Here is a 26,431-nt window from a genome sequence, read left to right on the forward strand (position 1 = left end):
TGGTTGCATCCATTGTTGTCCTACTCCATTACACATGGTTAATTATATTTACTTTGTCATGTATCCCACTTTAAAATATGGGAAGTTTCTGAAAGTTGGGGCTTTGTTTTGATGTAATAGTTATACCTATTATATGAAAAATTTTATATCTCACTAAATATAATTTGCCTTTCAAGCAATATTTTTATTGTGTGTACTGTTTTTGACCTTAAAGTAGTTAATATCTGGACTAGATGTGGAAATGTATAAATTGTGTAGTTTGTACCTTGGTGCTTGGAACAGTCTTTTCCGACTTTTAAAGTGCTAGATCCCTTTTTATTAAAAGGAATGCCAGTATGTTAAAACAGTAACAGAGCTGCTCTGTTGAGGGGAGGTGGGGGCTGGAAACCTACCCCTTCAGTCAGTGTCTTTGCCAGATGGCCTCTCAGGAACCTCCACAGAAGCCTGGGGGACTTCAGAACGTTACTGTTCAGTTGCTGCAGTAATTATACATTCTAAAAAGTGAGGGTTTTTTTCCTAGTTAAGCTTATTTTTCTCAAAAGATTACCATCCATAGAACAGACATTTTTAAAAATTAGATCTAAGTGTAGAAATGACAGTAAACTCATGATCCAGTTGAAGATTTTAAAAAATAAAAATAGTGGTTAATTTTTATCAATACAGCAGATTTAAATAAATATTGAATTTAAATACCTTTTAAATACTGGATTACATAATAGAGCAATCCAAAAAATCACTCACATAGTTTAAAGTAGTGATAATAATGTAAAAAGCAAATTTAAATACCATAATTATTTTTCATCATAAGTTGCAGAAAGTAAAACATGTTTCAATTTATGAACACAGAATAATTTTTGCGTATTAAAAACAATAAAATCACCTCCTGGGTAAAAATGTATGTTTTTCAAAGAGCAGTATAGTTTTTCATGATTTCTAAAATGATTTTTATTTCTTCCTTTTGGGGGAAAAATCGTCATGTAAACAGCACCCTCATCATTTGTCTTTGAAAGAAGAGGCTTCTGATGTGGTTCGTCAAAAGAAGAAGTACCCAAAGAAGCCTAAAGCAGAGGCTTTGATAACATCTCAGCAACCCACTCCTGAGACATTGCCTGTGATCAATAAGAGTGACATTAAGCAATATGATTTTCACAGCTCAGATGAAGATGAATTTCCACAGGTGCTTGTTTTAAAATATTTTAAAGATATTTCTTCTTAGTATTTTATATTGCTATATTTTTAAAACAATTGCTATCTTAGAGTTTTTATTCTTGCTTTGTTCCCCTAATGTATATAGCATAAACATTTCCACAGTATTTATGTAGCCACTGAAATGGTATTTACTCTGTATTACTTTTCATCAGTTGTATAGAATTTACTCTTTTGTGGAGCGCATGGTTTTTAGTTTTTCCATTTATAAAAATGAACATAGATTTTTTCCCTCTATTTAAAATAGATTCTTAGAAATTGAATTACTAGTTACTAACCAAAAATTATCAATATTTTAAGACAGTTAATATATAATTGTAAATATTGAAAATATTCATCAACAATACTTTCCTTTTTACCACACTCCACCAGCATTGTGTTTTATAACTTTTAATGTAAACTTTGCTAATTTGTTAGGTAATGGCTATTTGATTCTAAAAAAGACTTAAAGGAACTGATTCAAGTTTTAACTCTTTGATAAATATTGCAACAGCTTTATAGAAAAATGTGTGCAATTAAAAAATATTTTTATAAGTGCTGTTTTTAAAATAAGACTTTTACTTTATATATTAAAAGATCCGGCCAGGCGTGGTGGCTCACTCCTATAATCCCAGCACTTTGGGAGGCCGAGGCAGGCGGATCACAAGATCAGGAGATCTAGACCATCCTGGCTAACACAGTGAAACCCTGTCTCTACTAAAACAAAAAAAATCAGCCAGGTGTGGTGGCGGGCGCCTGTAGTCCCCGCTACTCCTGAGGCTGATCCAGGAGAATGGCGTGCACCTGGGAGGTGGAGCTTGCAGTGAGCTGAGATCGCACCACTGCACTCCAGCCTGGGCGACAGAGCGAGACGACGTCTCAAAAACAAACAAGCAAACAAAAAAAAGATCCATTTTTTTTTTAAATATTGTGTATCACCTGCTCTAGCAATACCCTCTTTTTAAAAATAGTATGGGAAACTTAACAGAAAATACTGTAACAAAGACCTTGAACTACTACCAGCTTTATCATATTTTAACTTTTTGACTTGTTTGCTTTAAGGAAACTTTCTTTTAAAAACCAACATTATAGATATGTTTGAAAGCAAGACTGTTTATAAAACTCTTCATTGCTATAACCATTTAAAATCTGGAGTTTGCATAAAATGTGTCCATTTGGCTGGATTATATTATTTTTACTCTTTTTCACCAATTGGTTTTTCTACCCAGATAATATTCTGATAGTCATATGAATAGTATCAAATGTGCAAAGATATGCTTAATTTTATATTCCCTTCAGGAGCACTTAATGAACCCATATATTACTTTTGTCAGAGGATCATCTAGTTTGACTCAGGCAGAGCTTTGAATAGCCATGGGACATTTATCAGATGACCATTTTGAAGGAATGAGGGATATAGTGCCCTACAAAAGAGTAATTTTCCAGATAGAAAGTATAGGGAAGGGTTCTAGGCACAGCATATTAGAGGGAACTCCTAGCAGTTTCGCATTGCTGGAGCACAAAACATAGAAGAGGAAGAGGGGATGAAAGGCTTGATGCCTGCAGTAATACCCAGATGGCAGATAGCCTCTATCTACATCATACATACTGGGAAATTATTTAAAATGTTAAGTAAGAAAATGACATAGTTAGATAAATATTTGTATAATAGGCTTATATTGGTGGTACTAATGAGAGCCTAGAAAGTTTTGCTATATATTTCCAGCCCTTTAAGAATGATGCTGTAGACTGGACATTGTGGCTCATGCCTGTAATCCCAGCACTTTGGGAAGCCGAAGCAGGTGGATTGCTTGAGCCCAGGACTTGGAGACCAGCCTGGGCAACATGGTGAAACCCCATCTTTACCGAAAAAACAGAAACAAACGTAGAAAAATTAGCCAGGCGTGGTGACACATGCCTGTAGTCCCAGCTACTCCGGAGGCTGAGGCGGGAGGATTGCTCGAGCCAGGGAGATGAAGGTTGCTGTGAGCCAAGGTTGCACCACTGTACTCCAGCCTGGGCGACAGAGCAAGACCCTGTTTCAAAAAAAAAAAAAAAAAATGAATGATACTGTAGGGTGCTATGACCTACAGAAACTTTTATCGGTGGAATCAGTACATCCAGCCTGAAAGTAGAGCTCACTCAGCATAACTACTCATATGTTTCTCATGCATTAAGGGATCTTCATTTCTGCTCCAAATTCTTGCATTGATTTATATAGTTTCCAGTTCCCATACCCACATGAAAATTGCATTTTGAAACTTTTAGGTTCTTCTGATTGTTTGTATTAGGTCTTAGACAATCCTCATTAATTTTATGGTATCTCCATATTACTAAAGAGTAAGTATTAATGTTTACCTATATTTGGGCGTCATTCAGTGAGGCAGCTATTCAGAGTGTACATCTTATAAAATCAGGATTTTATTGCTGACAAGATCATTAAAGTAATCATATTTTTCTTTGTCTAATAAACCAAGAACAAGGAATAGGGAGCCTTAAGAGAACAAACATTTTAACCAGACTTATGCCACTGAATTGCAGCTGAACAGAGCTAAAACTCTGCCTCTTGATCGTGCTTCCGATTTTCCTAACATTAGCTTTGTCTTCCTATGCCTCAGACTTCTTTTGTCCCCTGGAATCTACCCCGGGGAATCGTAGTTAGGAGGAAGGGGTGATAGATTTTATACACAGAATTTCTGAGACTTTGTGACACTTCCTGTGTATATCTTAGAATAGGTACGTTATTTGCAAAGGAACCAAAGTGTAAAATTCACGTTTGGGATTTCCTTTCAAATTTCAGGTTTGAGGCTTGGTTCCCCATGAAGAAGATTCAGCCCCAGCTCACTGTTTCTGTGTCTCCCCCATAGGGTTGGTGGAGGTATATTGGAACCTCAAACAAATACCTTTCTCCCCTGGATGACCCTGCTCAGTGGTAATTACCACAGTTTGGAAATAATATGGAGAAAACATTTTTCCTCTCGAAATAGGAAGAGAGGGATTTGTGAGGTTCAGAAATTTGCAAGTAAATATGGTTGAGCCAGCGTTTATCAGAAAAAGAGATGTTCTACAAAGTGAGAGTGCGAGACAACTGAAACTTAAGTACCAAAACTTTTAAAAAAATTTTAATAATTATGGGTGGAAATTTATCTAAAACATATTATTTCCCTATCTTCAGTGTATTTGTATATTATTTAATCTGTTTTTGTGACATTTATAAAGCGTGCTCTAATAGGTCAATGCTACTGCCCTAGAAGTCCACTCAATTACATAGGGATATTTGGCCTGATAGGACATGGCCTGGGAAGAGTGCTTTCTAATATGTGACAGCTTTCTGAAAGTCTTTATTCTTTTGCTCTAGCGTTGCGGGCTTATCTCTTCTCTATAACCAATGTGCTTACTTTAGCAAGTCATTTCTCTTCTTCTTTTCTACTTCTGATCTGCTAAGTTTAAAAAGTGATTTTTGAAAAATGAGTTGGGAGATACAAGACTTTCCTTTGAATAAAACCTGGCCTTTATGGCCTTTGGGGTTTTTTTTGTTGTGGTGATTTTTTTTGGCTGTTTATAAGCTGTTTTTATGTCCTAGCTTTTGGCTTTATTACAGAGAGATAAAGTTATTGGATAAAAATACACTTAACCTATAGGTGAAGTAAATATTTAACTGTCATTAAATATTTATAGCCACATACATTATTTATAAAATATAATGGGATGTATAAAAACTGTATTAATTCTAAGACTTAGCACTTCATGTTTAGAAGCAATCAAGCAATACCAATGCCATCTAGACTTAACCTGAAAGAACTAATCCATTAAAAACAATGATTTTTAACTATAGAAAATTTTTGCTAGTCATTGAATGTTTTGGGGAATTCAGTACTTATGATATGTAATATAGAAGTGATTTACTGTTTGTGATCAGATTTACATTTTAGAGTATTACAAACATTGATCTATTGACTTTTGATAACTTCTAAATGGAATGCCTCTTTTGTCTAGGTATTGTCCCCAGTATCAGAACCGGAAGAAGAAAATGATCCTGATGGTCCCTGTGCTTTCAGAAGGCGGGCAGGATGCCAGTATTATGCTGTAAGAACTTTTGTGTGTGTGTGGTGTTTTTGTGAACTGGAATTAACAGGTAACCCATGTCAAGATGACTTAGTCTTGATCTAAAAATGGGAAATGCATCAGTACTTTTTATTTAACATCCTTTATGTGGATACTGGTAAAAGATGCTAAAAGGTACTGAGTCCTTTCAAAGGGCGTCGGAATCCTCTTCTTGGAAATTGATAATTCCTCACATTTTAGAAATTTAGGTTCATTTTGGGCTCTAATTATAGCTTCAGCAGCTGTGAAAATTACTCAGTGTGTCATTACTAGAATTAGGTAAACCCAGAATTTGTAAGTTGGTTCTAGAACCTTTGATGGCTGCTAGGTGTTTATTGAAATTTATTGTTATGCAAGCCCATCTTGTGCATACATACCAGTAAGTATCAAACAAAATAATAATTTTGTTTGATACTTCCATAATGGCAATGTTTTGTCTAATAATTGTATTCATAACTTTTTGACACACCTAGAAGTTGCTTTATGCTATGAAGTCGCATTATATCACTCTCCAAGGTTCTCAATGAGATATAATGTAGCATTGTGAGGATGGCTTTGACTTTCTTATATGGCTTGTAGAGATCATTTATCTTGCTATATAATGGTAAGCATACACTGACAGCTTTTTTAGAGTGTGTAAATTTAGGAGAGGTGGAGATTTGTTTACTAGTTATGTTGATGAGAGAAGGGAAAATTCTTAACGAAAGGGGACAGACAGCATGATAAAATGATGAAGGGAATGGGAAGGCAGGGAACAGCTTGTTTGTTTCTTTATATTTATTTATTTACTTATTTATTTCTTTTAGAGACAGGGTCTTGCTCTGTCACCAAGGCTGGAGTGCAATGGTGCAATCATACAGTTCACCGTAACTTCAAACTCCTGGGCTCCAGTAGTCCGCCCACCTCAGCCTCCTGGGATTACAGGCGCATACCACTACATGCTGCTAATTTTTGTAATTTTTGTAGAGATAGGGTCTTGCTACGTTGCCCAGGCTGGTCTTGAACTCCTGGTCTCTAGTGATCCTCCTGTCTTGGCCTCCTAAAGTGCTAGGATTACAGGCATGAACCACTGCATCCTGCTTGGATGTGTGTTTCTTAAAAGTAAAGAGGAAGCTTCAGTTTGACCCCATAGTGTTTGAAGTGCAATTTTTAGTCCAAAAAATATTCTTTCTGGTTTCTCAGTAGGAAGCCTACAAATTACTATGTAATTTCACCATCTCTACTTTGTACACAAATGTTAAAAGCTGCATTATTTTTAACTATATATTCCTTTTTAAGTATAATAGACCCTAAATGAATTTATATTTACAAACTAAATTCAGTTTTGGTAATCTTGGTGAGTGAACTTTTGATTCAATTTTGTAAAATTTAACCTGATTAATAGTCAATGAAGCCCCACTTTTACAGTTTTATATCTAGATTTTAATTGTTCTGCTAATGTTGCAGTTACTTCATGTTTATCATGATCTAACCTGTCTTCATTTCAGATTTACTCCATGAGTTTTTTGTTTTTTGTTTTTTCTTTCTTTGCAGCCTCGTTTGGACCAAGCTAACCATTCATGTGAAAATTCAGAATTGGCAGATTTGGATAAGTTGAGGTATAGGCATTGCCTTACAACACTTACAGTCCCAAGAAGATGTATAGGATTTGCAAGGAGGCGAATTGGCAGAGGTGGAAGGTGAAGTATTTGTTTTCACCTGGTTTTTGTTTGCTATCTGGAACAGAAGACAAAGAGAACATGTTCAGCTCTCTCAGTTAATATTTGGTTTTATTTTGCTTTTCAGGGTCATAATGGACCGAATATCCACAGAACATGACCCAGTCCTGAAACAGATAGACCCTGAAATGCTGAATAGTTTTTCAAGCTCTTCCCAAACTATAGACTTTTCTTCTAATTTCTCTCGGACCAATGCTTCCAGTAAACATTGTGAAAATAGACTGTCTCTTTCTGAAATATTAAGCAATATCAGATCATGTCGACTACAGTGTTTCCAGCCAAGGCTACTAAATTTACAGGACAGTGATAGTGAAGAATGTACCTCAAGAAAACCAGGGCAGACTGTGAACAATAAAAGAGTTTCTGCAGCATCTGTAGCTTTATTGAACACCAGCAAGAATGGCATATCAGGTAAGCTGTTGCTGTGTTAAAAGTATATCCTGCTATTCTTTTTTACTTAATTTTATTGGGAAAGGAATTTTATCTTAACCTACTTAATTTTTTTTCCAACCTAAGAAACAAAATTGTTCTGTTCTGTCTCACATTTTAACCAAATTGTCCTAACTAGTACTGTAAAACCACTGACATCTGTTTCGGGTGTGTGCCTGGTACGGTAAATGTAGGCAGAATGCATACAGAGTTCCCTGTGGCCACACTGCTTATAAGCTGCCACCAGATCATCACAGCACAGTACTATCTGCTGCTTATGTTAAAGGTAGTTTTCATTTTGGTGCGTAAACTTTCATTAAATGTAACCATTGCTCCTTGAGAGTACCTTTGAAAACTCTTGCTGAAAAATGAATTTTAGGAGACTCCCTGTGAATAATTTTTTTTTTTTTTTAGATGGAGTCTCGCTGTGTCGCCCAGGCTGGAGTGCAGTGGCTTAATCTCAGCTCACTGCAACCTCTGCCTCCCGGGTTCAAGCGATTCTCCTGTCTCAGCCTCCCAAATAGCTGGGACTACAGGCGTGCACCACCACGCCCAGCTAATTTTTGTATTTTTAGTAGAGACAGAGTTTCGCCATGTTGGCCAGGCCAGTCTCGAAATCCTGACCTCAGGTGATCCACCTGCCTCAGCCTCCCAAAGTGCTAGGATTACAGGCATGAGCCACTGTGCCCGGCCCCTATGAATAATAATTTTTGTCCAATAGCTTACCTCTAGTTAAATCAGGAAGTTTTTTCATTTTTAAGAAATGTATTCAGGTTAATTTAATATTTTTATGACATGTACATTGTAAATAATGTATAATATCTAGAGAATCTAGGGTACACTTTTGATTTGTTTTCTTCTGTGGTCTCTTTATCACATGTATGCAAGTATGTATAATTTATAGATATCTTTATACATTGTATATATGCATTGTATCCCAAGACTAAAATAGATGTGGCTTGACTTACACTGTTGATACCATTTTTTTCTGTATGTATTTCTAAATTATTTCCTGGATGATGCATTCTAGGATGTGAAATTATCATCTTAAACTTCTTTAAAGTGATCATAAATCACTTTAGCTTGAAATTTGGTCTCAATAATGTTCAGTCTCTTTTAGCTACTGAACTGCCTGTTTTCCAACTTGACTCGTACAGTGATTTGTTTAAAGGTTATAATGGAAAATTGGATTTGTTTGAATGATTAGAAATTGGCATATCATTTATCCAAATTGGTTGGTTAATTTTCTCCTAAACAAACTTAAGTAAGGAAAATGGCCTCCCATTATATAAAGTTCATGAGTCTGTGAAGTTGAAAGAGTGCTTGAAGCTGAAATGGATGAATGCGTAATATGATTTGAGGCTGCAGGATTATTAGAAATCTAAAGATAGTAGAAAGTTGACAAATATTAAATCAAATCTTTTTTCAGCCAGCTCTAAGACAAAGTTCCAATTTATTTAACTAAATGGGAATTCCTGTACTAAACATTCTCAAAATAATTTTTCCCAAAAAGAGAGTTTAAAACATATCATATAGAGGCATTTATAATTACATTTGACCATAGGCTGATTGTCTTCTCTGCTGATGTATACCACATTAAAAAATGATTTTAATATCTTCCTTCTCAACGTGAACATTGTCAGATATTTGCAGCTTTCTCCTATACATTCCAGATTAACTCTAGATTTAACTTGACTTTTTTCCAGAAAGTGTATATATGTTGTATATATTGTTATATCATCAATACAACATATGTATTGGTCCAAAATATAACTTAATATGACTTAAATAGTTCCATTATAATCACCTCTATAATCCTATGACACTACCATACAACATAAAATAAGCATTTAAACTGTTATCTTAGGCGTGCATGTACTTCTCAGGGAATTTAAGTCACAAGTAATCAGTGTTAACATCATAGACAACAAGTTTTTTTGTATTCTTACCTTTACCTTACCATTAGAAAAAAATAATCTTTTTGGTCTGTGTGATTTTTCCTATCTAAAATTTTTTAATATCCTCAATACAGTACCATTTCTTTCTTCCCTTAAAAAATTTTAAGGCTTAAGCAACAAGTAAGGTACATTAGAATTCAGTGTTTTGAAATAAGATCTATCTTATTTAATAATTTATTCTTAGAGTAAAAGATTTTGTTTGAACTCATTCTTCTTCACTGACTGTGACCCCTCTAGTCACTGGGACCACAAGATTTTTTGTTTTCAACAGATGTCTTTTGTTTTAAAATAATAGGCATGGCAATATAAATACATAATGAAAAAAGTTTTTTAACAGCATTTTTTAAAATAATTGAAACCATAATTTAATGATTTATATCAGTTACATTCATTATATAGATTTCTTAGTTCTGGTTAGATAATTTTAAGTGAATTCAGTTACAGTTCCATGAATGTGGATAGGAATTTCCTCATCTACCTAAATAGAAGGATGAGGGAGTTTTAGAAAGCTATATTTTTACTTTTGATGGATATATACAAAAGAATGGGATCCTCATGTGTTTGGTTTTTCTAATCCATGCGTCTTGAACACTTTTTCCTTCTGCTTGTTCTTAGTGGGCTTGGTCATGAGAGCACAGTTGTTTTTAAGAGTAATAAGACAAAAAATAAAGGAACAAGACTAACACAGGATTATACTTTTCCCTAGCAGAGAATAACACTGAGCTAAACAGATTATTAGTACTGAATTGTCCATTTCACAGCTGGGAAATCCCAGCAAATGAAGCGTTTAATGAGAAATAGAAACATAATGCACTTTATTTATATCACCAGTTCCTTAGTTCTTAAACAAAAATTAAAAAGAGGGCTGCATCTTATGTGGAATTGAGGGCTAGTGGCAAATAGTTTTCTCTTAAATGTTGTTAATATAAACCCTGATTAACGTTTTCCATGTCATAACCCATGTGTCCAAAATATATTCTAGGCCGGGCGTGGTGGCTCACGCCTGTAATCCCAGCATTTTGGGAGGCTGAGGCAGGTAGATCACTTGAGGCCAGGAGTTCGAGACCAGCCTGGGCAACATGGCAAAACCCGGTTTCTACTAAAAATACAAAAGTTAGCCGGGTGTGGTGGCACGTGCCTGTAGTCCCAGCTGAGGGAGGAGGATCTCTTGAGCTCAGGAAGTAGAGGCTGCAGTAAGCCAAGATCCTGCCACTGTACTCCAGCCAGGGTGAGACCCTGACTCAAAAAAAAAAATATATTTTATATATATATATATATGCATGTACTATTTGTTATCTTTTATATACTTGAAGGAAAATTGAAAAGTGTATCCTAGATGTTAGAACTAAAACTAAAGACTTTTCATTTGAAAGCAGAGATGTGTTTTGTTAACCTTTAAGTAAAATAAAGGTATATTCTCTTAATTGAAAAACACTTCTCAGGGCCAGGCGCGGTGGCTCACGCCTGTAATCCCAGCACTTTGGGAGGCCGAGGCAGGCGGATCACGAGGTCAGGAGATTGAGACCATCCTGACTAACACGATGAAACCCCGACTCTACTAAAAATACAAAAAAAATTAGCCAGGCGTGGTGGTGGGCGCCTGTAGTCCCAGCTACTGGGGAGGTTGAGGCAGGAGAATGGCGTGAACCCGGGAGGCGGAGCTTGCAGCAAGCCGAGATCCTGCCACTGCACTCCAGCCTGGGCAGCAGAGCGAGACTCCCTCTCAAAAAAAAAAAAAAAAGAAAAGAAAAAGAAAACCACTTCTCAAAGAGTAAAAGCAGGATAAAGAATAGATTGATTGTGGTGAACATGACAATTGAGTAACCAAGAGAAATTAATTTCATACATTATTTAGTATCTGTTATATGCGAAACACTGTGTTAAATGTTTAAAAGTTGCAAGGTCTTACAAGACAATCCTTACCTTCAAGGAACTTAATTAATAGCACATGCAAATATTACATTCTTCATATAAACGGGATAATCCTTTGAAATTACAGTATTATTTAACTGTTCTTTGAAATGATGTTCTTAAATCCAGAACTCAAGAAAATGCATTTCATATCTAAAAGTGCTTTGCTTTTTCAGATTTGAAAGGACAGATTAATTTACATTTAGTTTTAGTTTTCTCTAATGCATGGTTGCAAATTAACATAATACTTTTTTCTTTTCTTACCTGTCATAATATACAGAATAGATACCAGCAGCCTTTCTGACCAGCTTTAAATATCTTTAAATATTTAAATATTTAATTATTTAAATTAAATATCTTTAATTAAATAAAATCTTTAAATAAAATTAAATAAAATTAAATTTAATTTAATTAAATAAAATTAAATATCTTTATTAAATAAAAAATTAAATATCTTTAAATATCTTTAAATATTTAAAGAAATATTACCAATTTCTTTTCTTTTTTTTTTTTTTTTTTTTGAGATGGAGTCTCACTCTGTTACCCAGGCTGGAGTACAGTGGCACGATCTCGGCTCACTGCAAGCTCTGCCTCCCGGGTTCACGCCATTCTCCTGCCTCAGCCTCCCAAGTAGCTGGGACTACAGGTGCCCACCACCACACCTGCCTAATTGTTTTTGTATTTTTTTAGTAGAGACAGGGTTTCACTGTGTTAGCCAGGATGGTCTCGATCTCCTGACCTCGTGATCCGCCCGCCTTGGCCTCCCAAAGTGCTGGGATTACAGGTGTGAGCCACCGCGCCCGGCCAATATGACTAATTTCCAAAATCATTAAGTTTGTACAGTTTTCCAAGAGAAATTCCTGTTTTAATTTCTTCAGTTTCTCTTCCCATTCATTCTTAAATTGTCATAAATGTTTGCAACTATGATAGTTTTAGGATTGATATAATGTGATTTAACATCTAGCTAAGGGTTAGGGTTGCTTCCAGAAGTGAGAAACGGATTCAGACCTAAGGGATTAAAGTATTTTAGTTTGACTATAAAAGGAAATAATGAAATTTCAATTGTAAATATTTGGCTTGGGTTTCAGAAGTTTAAATGGATTTTTAGTCTTTCTTCATTATCCTCACATCTGTTTGTTCTTCATTCCCCAACCCCCCTTATCTTTCCTCTCCCCAAAGACTCAGTTGATTTGTTAGTTTGTCTTTCACTGTAAGAGTTACATTTGTAAGATGTATATAGTCCTGGAAAGGTCATGTCAACCCTCCTGGATATGTTTGTCAGCAGAGTAGCACCAGTGGTTTATATGAACTTTCATCTGACTTCCTATTCTAACCCAGAGGATTTGATGTAAGATCCCTCTCTCTACCCTTTAATCCTGCCCCAGACCTGCCCTTTAAAACAGACAAAAATTGCATATAGTCAGCATATCTTTGAGAAAGCATATACCAAAACTCTTGTAACACTGGGTATAGTGACTCACCTCTGTAATCTAGCACTTCGTGAGGACAAAGTGGGAGGATGGCTTGAGGCCAGGAGGTTGAGAACAGCCTGGGCAACATAGCAAGACCCTGTCTCTCTCTCTTTTTTTTTTTTTTTTTTTTTTGAGACAGAGTCTTGTTCTCTCGCCCACACTGGAGTGCAATGGCACGATTCCGGCTCACTGCAATCTTCACCTCCCAGGCGAAGCAATTTTCGTGCATCAGCCTCCCAAGTAGCTGGGATTATAGGCACGTGCCACCACACCCAGCTAATTTTTTTATTTTTAGGAGAGACGGGGTTTCACCATGTTGCCCAGGCTAGTCTTGAACCCCTGACCTCAGGTGATCCACCCACCTTGGCCTCCCAAAGTGCTGGGATTACAGACGTGAGCCACTGCACCCAGCCAAAGACACTGTCTCTTAAAAAAGAGAAAAAAAAAGAAAAGACACTCTTGTAACAAAGACTGACCTGGTAGATGAAGAAATACTAGATGATGTATTCTTTTTGACTTTTAAATAATCTTTACTACCAAATTAGGTATTCCTCATTAAGCTATGAAAATTTGGTCTAGGCTAGTATTTGAAAAATTCATGACTTCCCAAGAATACATCTTAGCCCAGTTTAAGAAACACTGCATTAAAAGTTAAGAGATGATGAAAAAACAAAGGCACAAGCACAAAAATCCTGTGTTCCTACTCTGTTATGGGATGATGATCCAGAAGATCCAGAGTGTATTTCTGTTTAGATTGTTCTTTTTGTTTGTCAACAAAAAATCTTTGTTAGTTAACAAAGATTTCCCATATACTCAAGAATACCTGTGGGCACAAGCTTGAGAAGCAGGACCTAAAGCTTTATAATCATTATGTTAGTGTAAAATCTGTGGAGGTACCCAGAGTATGTTTTTAGTTGATCACTAAAAAGTCACCCTAAGCAGAGCACCATACAGGAACCACACACCTAAAAGGCAAAGGATGAAATGAGGGATGGCTGGGACCTTTGAAAACAGTCTGCTTTCCAAGGATGGTGACAGATACCTAAGAAAAGGCATATGGATTTATCTGAGGAATAAAAGTAGACTGGTAATTACAAGATAGATAATGAATCAGATTTGTAGAAGATAGCCAGAAAGGTGAGGGGCTTTCGTGAAAAACAGACTGTTCTGTATACAACATATCTAGAAATGCAAGTATGTTACTAACGTCCTGAATGACATATTTGGGTATATAAAAGGGAAAATCCTGTAACAAGTATGCCAAATGTGTTATATAGAATGTGTTACCTAGGAAGTTTTGCAAAACATTTTACTTAGGGAAAGGAATGCTTCTCATCTATCTGGAGTATTGAAATACTCCTACCTTCACAAAACAATCAGATTTATGGTTACTTTTAAATTGATGAGACTTGTGGGCATGTGGTGAGATAAATTTATGACCAGCATGAATTTCACTTTTAAGCTAGCAACTTAAGATCAACTAGTGAAAAGAACTTGGCTTGGCCCTAAGCAAGAGAAGCAGAGAATCTCAGTTTCCCTTTTGTACATTCCCACTTGCCCATGGTGCCACGATCACCTCACCCAAAGCTGGGTCTCTATCTTGTATCTCATTCTGAAACAGATTTGTTCACTCTATAACTATTACCTCTTCCCGATGTACTTTGATGTGTGCCTCTTGTAATCCAAAGCAATGTAAGAAATCTCTTATGAATGTATTTCAGTAACTTATGAAAGAAAAAATAACTAGTAGAGAAAGTGCTTTCAATCAAATTTCTGCCACCTGCCCCTGCCCCCCCGCCCACCACCAGTAAGTAAACCCTGAGAACCCTGAGAATTGCAATTCAATATTTTGTCCATCCTATTAAAACTATGCATTTCATACCACTTTTCCTCCTCCCTGAAATAATAAAGGAGTTAGAAAGGATGTTTTGTATGTGTTCCAATTTTGTGTCATTGATTACTATTGGCAATTTTTGTCTAAAGTTTTGAAGTAATAATAAACAGTGCTCTAGAAAATTCTGAATGAGGAAAATCAGCTTGTTTCAAGCACAGAATACCTTACTTAATAATAAAGAGCTAGATGTCAAGAATGGATATAACATATTGAGATTGAGGTGAGGGGGAAAAGAAAAAAATGAATGTAATTTTTTAAAGCATATACATATAGAATTAAATTTGTGTCAGTGATTCTCAACCAGAAATGGGATCAGAAATGAGAATTTTAGTATCAAAATCCACCTAGGTTTAAAAAGGTTAAGAAACACTGACCATTAATCTGAATAATTTGGATTGCAACCAGATTGGGATTTTCTGAGTTTTCTATGAGGAGAAAAGAATAAGGTTCCTGAGCAAATTAATGGTCTCAAGAAGACAGGACAGTAAATGGAGACACCCCAAAAAACAGCTAGTTTTATCTGTTTCCGTTTTTAATATGTACACAAATGATCATGGTTCATAAAAAGAAGTGGAACACAGCTAGTTGGCAATATTTTGTTATCTATGGTCTACCAACCCAAAAAATATTTTTTGTTGTTTATAAAAAGTAGCAATTTGGGCTGGTCACAGTAGCTCATGCATGTAATTCCAGCACTTTGGGAGACTGAGGCAGGAAGATCATTTGCAGCCATGAACTGGAGGCCAGCCTGGGCAATGTAATGAGACCCTGGGTATACAAAAAATTTCTAAAATTAGCCAGGTGTGATGCCATGCACCTGTAGTTCCAACTACTCAGGAGGCTGAGGCGGGAGGATTGCTTGAACCCAGGAGTTCAAGGCTGCAGTGAGCTATGATTGCACCACTGCCCTCTAGCCTGGGCAATAGAGCAAGACTCTGTCTCCAAAAAACTGTTCCTTCTACTAATTTAGATATATACTTTATTCTGAATTAGTAAGATTTTATCAACTGACTTAAAAGATTTTAGAAAGAAGAAAAAATTCTCATTCTTGTTTCTCTCTCAATTTTGAAATAGTAACTGAAAGTATATATCCTTATTTGGCTTATTCCTCACTTAATGTTAATCACTGTGCCTCTCACCTTTTCACCAGAACATAAAGCTCAACTCTGGACACACTTGACACTGGACTTAAGGACTGTTGTAATAATACCAGATTCCAAGTCCATTTCTTTTGAATTGGTGCACTGTACACATGGGACTTAAACAGATTTATTTGGGTTTAATTTAAGATTTTTCTTTCTGCCTTTGTATCTAATAAACTATTTTTCATCTCTTTCCCCAAGGTTTTCAAATAGCTGGAAATTCATGAATACTTCACATTTTCATTTGAGTTTGAAGATTATAAATTTAGAATTTAAAAAAAATTTTTCATTTAAAAATAGAACACTTGCAGTGAATTTAACATGTGCAAAGAAAGACATTTGATTTTGTTGGTAATTCAGTAAGATAACTAATGTGTACTTCAAAAATACAGGTAATATAAAATTTTGGAGTGAGCACTGTAATAGCCCCCAGTTTTGAGTCTTTTAAAAATAAAGTTGCTATCTAAGAACTGTTTTCCCCTTATAGTCCAATACAAATTTTAATGGTAATATTGTGGAACAGAAATGAGAGTGTATCTAAAGCTTTGTTCATTTCTGGGGCATAACTCCTTTTTCATAGAAAATAGACTGTACTAGGCATAACTTGTTATATCTAATTTACCATAAAAAAATTTTTTTGATTATTCATGTGTGATCCTATTCAACAGAAAACTTGGGAGAGTTAAGTAAGGTAGATTGAGGCTATAGTTGCCAGTCTAAACTCCTTTAGGTCATATTGATTAGATCACTCAATTGCATGTAAATGTTGATTCATTAATTGGTATTTCTTATGTCTGTCTTTTCTTCCCAACTACATTCCAGGACTTTGTAACAGAGATCCTTTTCTTATTTTCCCCTATATTCACTGTGACTCTTAGTGCAGCATTCTGCATTATAGTAGATAGTAAATATTTGTTGATTGAAATCATTGGGAGAAAGGATAGCAAGCAATAAAGAAAACAGAGCAAAATTACTCTAAAGTACATGTATTATCATGTCATTTAATTTTTCTTGACTCTAATATTATAATGACTTCCATGGAAATGTCTTTGTGTTCTCTAAATCAACTTATCAGTGATCTACTTAAATATCAACGAATGAAATTTTGTTTACATTTCTTTGAGAAAAGTGGTTTCTGTAACTTAGCTGATTTTTTCAACAAAAGTTGTAGATGTCTTGTTTTCATTTGAAACACACTTTTAACACAGTTGGTCGCAGTAGAATTTACTACATCTGAGGATACATAGTATCTTCAGTTTTCTGAATACTTGTCTGATTTCTAGCCCATATTTTTATAGATGGATTTACTTTAGGCGTTGAATCTATTGGCTTAAACTATGGTTTGTGGTTATGTTAGATGAATGTTGTTCTCTACTTTGATTTGTAATCAGAGAATAAAGTATTTTCACTTCAGTGTTTTATGAAACCAGCAGTAAAAATCATTTATAGTCTTGCAGATGGTCCTGCTTTCTTATTAAGGCTATAACTTAGTCATCATTATTATTAACATGAATAAATCAAAGTTTTTTTCATTACATGCTCTCCATAATATAGAGAATTAAGAGTGGTCTCAAAGATACTAAGTCTGAATAAATGGTAAAATACTCATGTTAGAACTGTATTATTCAACAAAAACTACATTTAGGCACTTTTCTTAGCATGTGATGGAGATTATAAATACAAGCATACACCACACTTGCTGGAAGATTTGCCATTTTCATTAGATTATTTTCTGATATTCCATATTGTAATTTGTAATTGCTTTCATCTTAATTGTGGAATAAGTTTATATCATATTCTGCTTGTGTTATTAAAAATCTTTTAAAACGTACTCATTTCCAAAATTCATGTTCTTTACCAGTAACAGGGGGTATCACAGAAGAGCAGTTTCAGACACATCAGCAGCAGTTAGTTCAGATGCAAAGGCAGCAACTTGCCCAGCTTCAGCAGAAACAGCAATCTCAGCATTCCTCGCAACAGACACATCCAAAAGCACAGGTAAACTGCTCTTTTCGTCATAGTTACGTTTGTTTCTTTCATCATTATGTAGTTTTATTCCATTTTAGTCAAGTCACAGAAGATAATCTTGGTTTTGCCACTCTTGATTTGGGGTCTGTAACCTGAATTTCTTTTCAGTTAATGTACGTAATTTTAAGTGACTAGCTTATAAACTAATCTCTTAATATTTTGAGAAGAGTGCTGGAGCCAAATATGGTATTTTAAATTTTTTGAAGGGTTGTTGAGAATTTATAGAAGTAATTATATATGTAGTTGTAAGAATCATTCTCCACCTCCACTCCCCCAAAGATTTTTTTGAAAGATAAAACTTTCCTAACCACTTCCTAAACTATGTGTTTAAGTGCATGTGGATGTGCTCCATGAGCTGGGCAGTAATTCAGTTGAATTGTGCAATACATCAACAGCATAACCCCTTGCCATTGTGAATCACATTTCCCTGTTGAAGAAAATTGCAACCAGGCACGGTGGCTCATGCCTGTAATCCCAGCACTTTGGGCGGCCGAGGCGGGCAGATCACTTGGGGTCAGGAGTTCAAGATCAGCCTGGTCAACGTGGCAAAACCCTGTCTCTACTAAAAATACAAAAACTAACTGGGCATGGTGGTGAATACCTGTAAGCCCAGCTACTTGGGAGGCTGAGGCATGAGAATCGCTTGAACCCTGAAGGTGGAGGTTTCAGTGAGCTAAGATCGCACCACTGCACTCCAGCCTGGGTGATAGAGTCAGACTATGTCTCCAAAAAAAACAAAAAAAATTAATTAAAATTTTTTAAAATGAAGAAGAAAATTGCCACTAGGGGAAGTTGTTTGTAGACACCACTAAATAAAGATGCTAGAGATAAGAATAAAAATACTTCATAAAACCATAATTGCCAGAAGGAACCAGCCCTGCCAACACCTTGATTTTAACCCCATAAGCTTCATTGTGGACTTCTGGCCTGCAGAACTATATGATAATAAATTTTTAAGCCACTAAAAGCAAAACTAAGAAATCTATTTCAAATTTGAACCACCTGAAAAACATAAACCTTGCGTTTTAGGTCTTAAGTTTTATTGCTCTATAATTCTAAAACCACTTCTAAAGTAATAACTGAGGTTTACTCAATTTTGGTTATATTTTGTGAGCTCTCAGGCTAGAATCTGCCCATTGTAGTTCAGCCCATTCTCAAAGGGTCAGTACACTGACTTTAAAGATCCTGACTCCAGTAACATGAAAATCTCAGTGACCCTGGAATGCAACACTCCTGTGACATCCAGGTGGATCTGGGACTTGCTCAAGGACTAGGGCTGTAGGACTTAGTAACTAGGACTTAGTAACCAGTTTTATACAGAATCAAGGAGGAATGGCCATTTAACTTTACTTTGTTTGCTTTTTCTGAGTCTCCTGGTTAACCAACCAAAAGTATTTTCATCCTATTTCAGGGTTAGGCCAAGATAGGTTTTCACATTGTGACAAAAATGTCTATTAATCATCTCTATGATTTCATTTTATCCAAGTATGTAGTTTTTCAAGCATTTTTAAAACCATTCATTAATATTTTTTGGAAAAATTAATAGAACATTAAAGCCTTGGGTTATTTAATCTCTAGTTCTTTCTCAGAAATAACTTCTCAGTTTTTGTTCGTTTCCCTGCTTCATATGCCAAAAATCATCTATGGAATCGTAGATCGCTTAATCTAAACACTTGTAATTGTTCAAGGTTAGAAAGGCAACAGCCTCTTGGGTTTGCCCCATCCCTTAATATGTTCATAAAATCACATCTAAAAATTAGAGTGTTTAACTTTGTTCATTTTATAGGGCTCAAGCACCTCTGACTGTATGTCTAAAACACTTGACTCAGCCAGCGCCCACTTTGCTGCATCTGCAGTGGTCAGTGCACCTGTTCCAAGTCGCAGTGAGGTAGCCAAGGAACAGAACACTGGCCACAACAACATAAACGGTGTTGTCCAGCCTTCAGGTACAGCTGGGGTTTCACATGGTACCTACTTTCTTGAAGTTGTAACTCAGTGATTGGGAGTTTGTTTTTTGTTTTTTTATCCAAGGGGAAAATGTGTATAAGTCAATCAGGACTCTTTAGGATTTCTTTGGAAAGATAGTGGGAAATAGGTAGATGTTTTCTAGAATTCATGTAGAATCTACTCCTTGTTTTCTCCCTCATCCATTGAATACATACCTGTGTAACATTCTACCCTTCCTGGTTTCATTCACATACTGTCAGTTGCCTCACATCTTAGGAAATCTGTTGAGCTAACCATCCCCATTGAATCATGCATGCATTGATAAAAAAGTGAAAGATAATCCAGGACAGTAATAAATTGGAAATCAGATTTGCCTTCCCACTCTTACATACTGCTCATAGGCATACTAACTCTGGCTCCCGCTCTTTAGATAGAGTATTGCTGTGAAACCCTGTGTGCTTCTTAGTACCCTGAGTCCGCAAAGACTTGTTATTCCTATCATCCTTCAACTACCTCTCAGACCCTAGGATTTTCCAGTTGCTTTTATATATACCCATGAACCTGATTGTCCATTTTTACTAATATTCATGCATGTGTACATACTTAGGGAAACCCAACTGTCATTTCCATCTGTCCTGTTATACTTAACTCCACAGTTGCCAGATACAGGCAGCAGAATACTTTGCAAAGCCGTTTTATGTAGACCAGTAGAAAGAGGGTGTTTTGGGGGTTGTAGCAGATTAGTACATTCTACTTAGTGATCAGAAGCTCCCTTTGGAGAGACCAGTGTGTGAAAAGTTAACTTGGCATTCAATTCAAATACAAATGTTCGTATTTATTTTATTAAGCTTCTAAAAATAGTTGTATTGATGTCTCATGATACTAGTTGAATGACTTCTTTCTTTTTCAGGAACCTCTAAAACATTATACTCCACCAATATGGCTTTATCATCCAGCCCAGGGATTTCAGCTGTACAGCTTGTAAGGACAGTTGGCCACACCACTACAAACCACTTAATCCCAGCATTGTGCACAAGCAGTCCTCAGACACTTCCCATGAACAATTCCTGCCTGACAAATGCAGTGCACCTCAATAATGTCAGTGTTGTTTCTCCAGTCAATGTGCATATCAATACACGGACTTCAGCACCATCGCCAACAGCCTTAAAACTTGCCACAGTTGCTGCCAGTATGGACAGAGTGCCAAAGGTTACTCCCAGCAGTGCCATCAGCAGCATAGCAAGGTGTGTGTGTGTGTTTCAGTGATTTTTCTCCCTTTGTGCTGGCTGTCCTGTGGGAAGAAAAAGACTTTTTTTTACACTGCTCAAGCAATAGGTGTTTATTGACAGACTTGATTTTCAATAGATACTGAAGATCTGTATAAAGCTCTGTGACTTAGGTATTTGTTTAAGGTGCCTAGTAGGATGCTTAAATGCCAACCTAGTAGGATTGTTAGAGAAAGACAGAGTAGTAGTAGAGAGAGAGAGAGAGAAAGGAAAAGAAAGAAAAGGACATCCAACTGTCAAACACATCAGAGTCTATGTTAGAAGCTTCAGTTACTCTTCCCCCCACTGCCCGCCCCACCCCCGAGATGGAGTCTTGCTGTCTTGCCCAGGCTGGAGTGCAATGGCGCAATCTCAGCTCACTGCAGCCTCCGCCTCCCAGGTTCAAGCGATTGTCCTGCCTCAGCCTCCCAAGTAGCTGGGATTATAGGCACATGCCACCATGCCTGGCTAATTTTTGTATTTTTAGTAGAGACGGGGTTTCACCATGTTGGCCGGGATAGTCTCAATCTCCTGACCTGGTGATCCACCCGCCTCAGCCTCCCAAAGTGCTGGGATTACAAGTGTGAAGTTCCTCTTGTATTAATGTTTTATAGTTTAGGCAGTCTGGAAGATGGGAGTTGTTATGATTAACTCCATGCCAGAGTTTAGGTTTCACATCCAAATTTGTGTTTTCTTTAGCGTCATACACAAAGGGAAAGTAAATTACCTTATTTACTTTTATGGATTACTACGGACATCCATAGTATATTTTAGAATGTTTTTATATTTCTTTCTATGACACTAATACAAGGAGAACAATGAATCAGAAAAAAATTGATTTGCATAGGTTAATAAATACATGATCTTAAGCCTATAGAATTAAACTCTAATGGAAAGTAATTTCAGTAATATTGTGCTCCTAATGATTATTCTTTTTGAGTGTCATATGCTTCATCTCTCGAGAAAAAAAAAAGAAAAACTTGGTTTGTCCTGTGATACATATTTCATAAGTAATTTCTCATTGGCTTCTACTGAAATGCCATGTTAAATTATTATCTTTCCTAAGTAAATAGCCATAATAAAAAAATTAGGAATTAATGGAATTTCTGAGCTGAAGAAAAGTTTTTCTCATTCCTATCTAGAAATGGCAAAAATGGGAATTGTTCTTGTGAAGTCATGTTTAGTTGTAATTATGTAACAATGTTTTTGTAAAATACTAAATGGTAACGTCATGTTCTAGAGAGTATTGATATTTATTTTATCCTTTGCCTTATTACCATAGAGAGAACCACGAACCAGAAAGATTGGGCTTAAATGGAATAGCAGAGACAACAGTAGCTATGGAAGTGACATAACCTAAAACACGTGGCTCTGACCTGTGCTGATGGTGTGCAGTCATTCATATTCCAGCTGAATGCAAAAGGCAACACTCTGTGGATCACAGAGTGTAACAATGGACCTAAATGGACTATAGTATATTGGATGTTAAATCCATATATGATGTATATTTTGTAAAATTGGGAAAATCACTACCTTGTAAAATAGTTTATTTGTATCATCAATATTATTTCTGTTACTTGAATAGTAGATATTCATCATCATGCTTTTGCACTTGAATTTGCAACTGAATGGATTTTAAAAAATAATTCTTTAATGGGATCATGAGCATGAAATGGGATCCTGCATCACTTGTTTTAACTATTTATTTTGCCATGTTTACATTTTGTATCTTGTAAAAATAAATCCAACTTTGTGTCTAAAAAGTTAAAGATTCATAGCTAGGAAATGAAATTCTTGTAATTTTTTTCTAAAGGAACTGTAAAGTTTTCACTTGGTTCATTTTGTTTCACAATTTGACTAGATGGACTTTTTGGTAAATACTTTAGTGGCATTTCACTGTCAAATATGAAGTTCAAGGCAAAATAGTATTTTCTATTACTGTGCAGGGGAAAGGGATGGATCGATACATGCAAATTTAATGTAGTAACTCACTTTTCCATATATTTTGAATGTATATTTCTATTTATGATACCAATTTATAAAAAATAATTACACAGAAAAAATGGAATAGGAAAAATTATGCATCTAGCACATTTAAACTGTGCAAATATGAAAATTTTTCGAGGATTACATTTTATCTGAAGGCTGCATATTTTAACTGGCTTTAAAACTGTAACACATCACATAAAAGATACTTTACCAGGTATGTATTGCATTATATCATTGCAATAATTATTGGAAGTCTAGATATCGAGCCATCCCAGGTGTTGGGCGGGGGGAGGGTTGTGGCAAGATTGTCTTTTCAATTTTGGAGAGTTTTCCTGTGGCTACAAGGCAAGTAACGGGTTGGAAAAAGTCTGACTGTAAGCGTTGGACACCTTCATAGTGTAGTGTTTTAGTGACTTTTTTTATACGGTTCTTGTAAATTAGATACGTGTAGTGGTGTTTCAGAATGTTTGTTTATGCACTAGTTCAGACAACTTTCCCTGTTACTTGTTCTTGATAAGTGAAAACTGCAGGGAAATAAAAAATACATATCAAAACATGGACATGCTGCATATGTGTTTATTTCACAATGTGCACACAGTATAAGTGAAAATTTAAGGGAGATGATAGCACTTAACAGCACTTTTCATGTTCACATGCTTTCCAAGCATTAATGAAAAGAACTATAGGAAGCTCATCTGTGGGCTCTATTGGGTTTCAGATAATCCAATATAAACTACCTTTGATATGAAAGTTCGTAAGATATTTTACAGAATGTAAGTAATTTGCAGTATCGCAGTCATTGAAATGTCATAAGTGAGCCTCATTTTATAAATAAAAGTTTAGAGTAGAATTATATTGCAAGGGGGTTTTGTCAAGTAAGTACTGGGAAATGTAAATATTTTTAATGAATACAATTAAAACCATTTCAAACTTACATAATTTTATACTTTACATTTTTTATATCTGCAGTCCTGAAAGTTGTAAATTGAAATGTCAGTTGAATTAATGGGCCAAGATTTCTGGTGAAAGTGGTTTTTATTCAGGTCCTAAATGTGTAAAGCAATTTATGGTCAAAACCATAGAAAAAATACTAATTTTGTCTTGGTTGTGACCTGATAGGATCCATGCTCGTTTCTGCCATACTACCTCTGGAGTTACTCATTGCTGATTATATAAAGGAAATAATTTTGATTTGATATGTATTATGACTGTGTTCATTCTGCTTATAGTTGGATGTATCTCCTTGCTATTAAGAACTTAAAACAACTTTAGTGCCAATTGCAGAGAAAGCTTTTTTCCCCATTTTACTGAAGTAAAGCATGAAGTGAATTTGCCTTATGTGATATATATGTTATAAATAAGTAAAACAAAAGAATTATCCATTTGTACGGTTTCTGGAGGTGGTGGCAAATCCAGAACTTATAAGACTGATGACCAATTGATTTGTTCCTTTTGAAGTAAAATAGAAACGTAAGCCTTCCTTATTTTGTTGGTTGTAACTGTTTCATGGATGGCATTTCAGTTATGTACATACACATTTTCCACTGCTTCTCTAAAACTTAAGTGACAAATATTTGTTTTCACTTTATTAAATTGAAGAATAGTCTATTTCTGCACTGGACAGCACTGCTCTCTTAGTTTTCTCAGGAAATTAGTGTTGGTACTCGGAGTCCAGTAAGCTTTCAGAATCTTTGGAGAATGTGTTTCTTTGGAATGGGTGGAGGTGGTTAATTTTTTTAAAAAAATAACAAAACGGGTAACTCTCACGTGGTAGGATATTCTTAATTCAGCACAGATAAAAACATTTTTGATTGTATTTTTCTTATTTCTCTACCTTCATAAAGAGAGTACACGCCCTTCCTTTCCCAATAATTCAAGATCATTTTTATGATGTAGCTCTAAGTATATTTGAGGATTTGTTTTCTTTTGCAAAAGACCAAGGGAAAAACTAAAAAATTTATAGGGCACATTTTAAAACTATATATATAACACACACACACGTATATTCTGGCTTTTTAAAAAACAGGAATGTATTTGCAACTGTGCTAGGTGTTTTTTTTTTTATTACTAAGGTTGTTTTAGGGGGGAAGGTAGGGGGAGAACAAGGAGGACCAACATTACAGAAACTTCCCTAGTATGTACTGCTGTATTTGAGTATGATGCTACACTTTTCAACAAATTTTGTTGATCAACAATATACTTGTGACTGATGTGTTTTATTGTCTCTTAACTGACTTGGCAAACTTCCAAATTTTAAAAGGTAAGAATATCTGAAGGGATTATGAATATTACATCCTGTAAGATAAGAGATGTTTTTCATCACTGACAGCAGCATCATAATAGCTAACATCATGGAGCATGGAACATTCTCTCTTAATGACTTACTCATTTACTCCTAACAACAATTCTGTTTAGTAATATTATTTTTCCCATTTTAAAGATCAGGAAGATGAAGTTTAGAGAAGTTAGGTAACTCACTCTATGTCACATAGCTGTTAAGTTACTAAGGAATTAAACTTTGGAGTCACCACACTTCTAACCACACTGCCTTCTACCTTTAACATGAAAGAAGCCCTCCTCAAAGAAGTATTTATTCTATTTCTCAGTCCACTTGTTAGCAGCATCCGTAGCAGTTTAGAATTTCATTTAGAAGACAGCCACCCAACTATTACACCACGAGACTAAGTGAATTATATCCAACTGTGGCTTCTAGCCATCCACTGAGGAAACCCAAATATTCTTTTCTGCCTGCCGGACCTAGTGAGTAAGTGCTAAAGCTCTCAACACAAAGCAATGGGAGCGAGGTCTGGTCCAGGTCTTGGCTGATTTAGCACTTTCCAGACCTGTTTCCCCATCTATAAGATGAGCAAGTTCTTGAAACTCCATAAAAGAGGCCACACTGAGAAGCTTCGTGGAGGTGTGCATGTGGCTCGTGTGTCATTGGTTGCTTATTAAGGAAGTAAATTATGTGAGCTGTAAGGTTGAGCATACAGTTTAGAGCTTAAATATATATATACACACACACATACATACACTTCTGGGATACATATGCAGAACATGCTGGTTTGTTACATAGGTATACACATGCCATGGTGGTTTGCTGCACCCATTAACCAGTCATCTACATTAGGTATTTCTCCTAATGCTATCCCTCCCCTGCCCCCACCCTTCCCCAACAGGCCCCGGTGTGTGATGTTCCCCTCCCTGTGTCCGTGTGTTCTCATTAATCAACTCTCACTTATGAGTGAGAACATGAGGTGTTTGATTTTCTGTTCCTGTGTTAGTTTGGTGAGGATGATGGTTTCCAGCTTCATCCATGTCCCTGCGAAGGACATGAACTCATCCCTTTTTATGACTGCATAGTATTCCGTGGTGTATATGTGGCACAT

General features: G+C 35.8%; 1 protein-coding gene across 4 annotated transcripts in view, besides 1 other annotated feature; it reads left to right on the forward strand.

The window, feature by feature from the left end:
* EPC2 (enhancer of polycomb 2) overlaps positions 1–23,600 on the forward strand; it is a 142,819-nt gene extending 119,219 nt beyond the window's left edge. For 3 of the 4 annotated variants that reach the window (NM_015630.4, XM_011510943.4, XM_047443897.1), the window contains 8 exons: positions 986–1,177; positions 5,182–5,271; positions 6,823–6,968; positions 7,075–7,418; positions 17,675–17,811; positions 19,628–19,787; positions 20,699–21,032; positions 22,336–23,600. In NM_015630.4, the coding sequence (NP_056445.3) occupies positions 986–1,177; positions 5,182–5,271; positions 6,823–6,968; positions 7,075–7,418; positions 17,675–17,811; positions 19,628–19,787; positions 20,699–21,032; positions 22,336–22,408 (1,476 nt within the window). In that variant the 3' untranslated portion in view covers positions 22,409–23,600. The remainder of the gene's footprint in view (positions 1–985; positions 1,178–5,181; positions 5,272–6,822; positions 6,969–7,074; positions 7,419–17,674; positions 17,812–19,627; positions 19,788–20,698; positions 21,033–22,335) is intronic. The other variant, XM_011510941.3, reaches the window with a different exon arrangement.
* Positions 238–407: an enhancer, noted in NCBI's record as "experimental_53210 CRE fragment used in MPRA reporter constructs". NCBI's record gives its function as "activates a minimal promoter by MPRAs in K562 erythroleukemia cells, with activity observed for the non-introgressed 2:149521861 variant allele {active_cell/tissue: K562}" and the evidence as "EXISTENCE:reporter gene assay evidence [ECO:0000049][PMID:34662402]".
* Positions 23,601–26,431: the final 2,831 nt, after the last annotated feature.

Source organism: Homo sapiens, chromosome 2 (assembly GCF_000001405.40).
Source record: "Homo sapiens chromosome 2, GRCh38.p14 Primary Assembly".
Classification (NCBI taxonomy): Eukaryota; Metazoa; Chordata; class Mammalia; order Primates; family Hominidae; genus Homo; species Homo sapiens.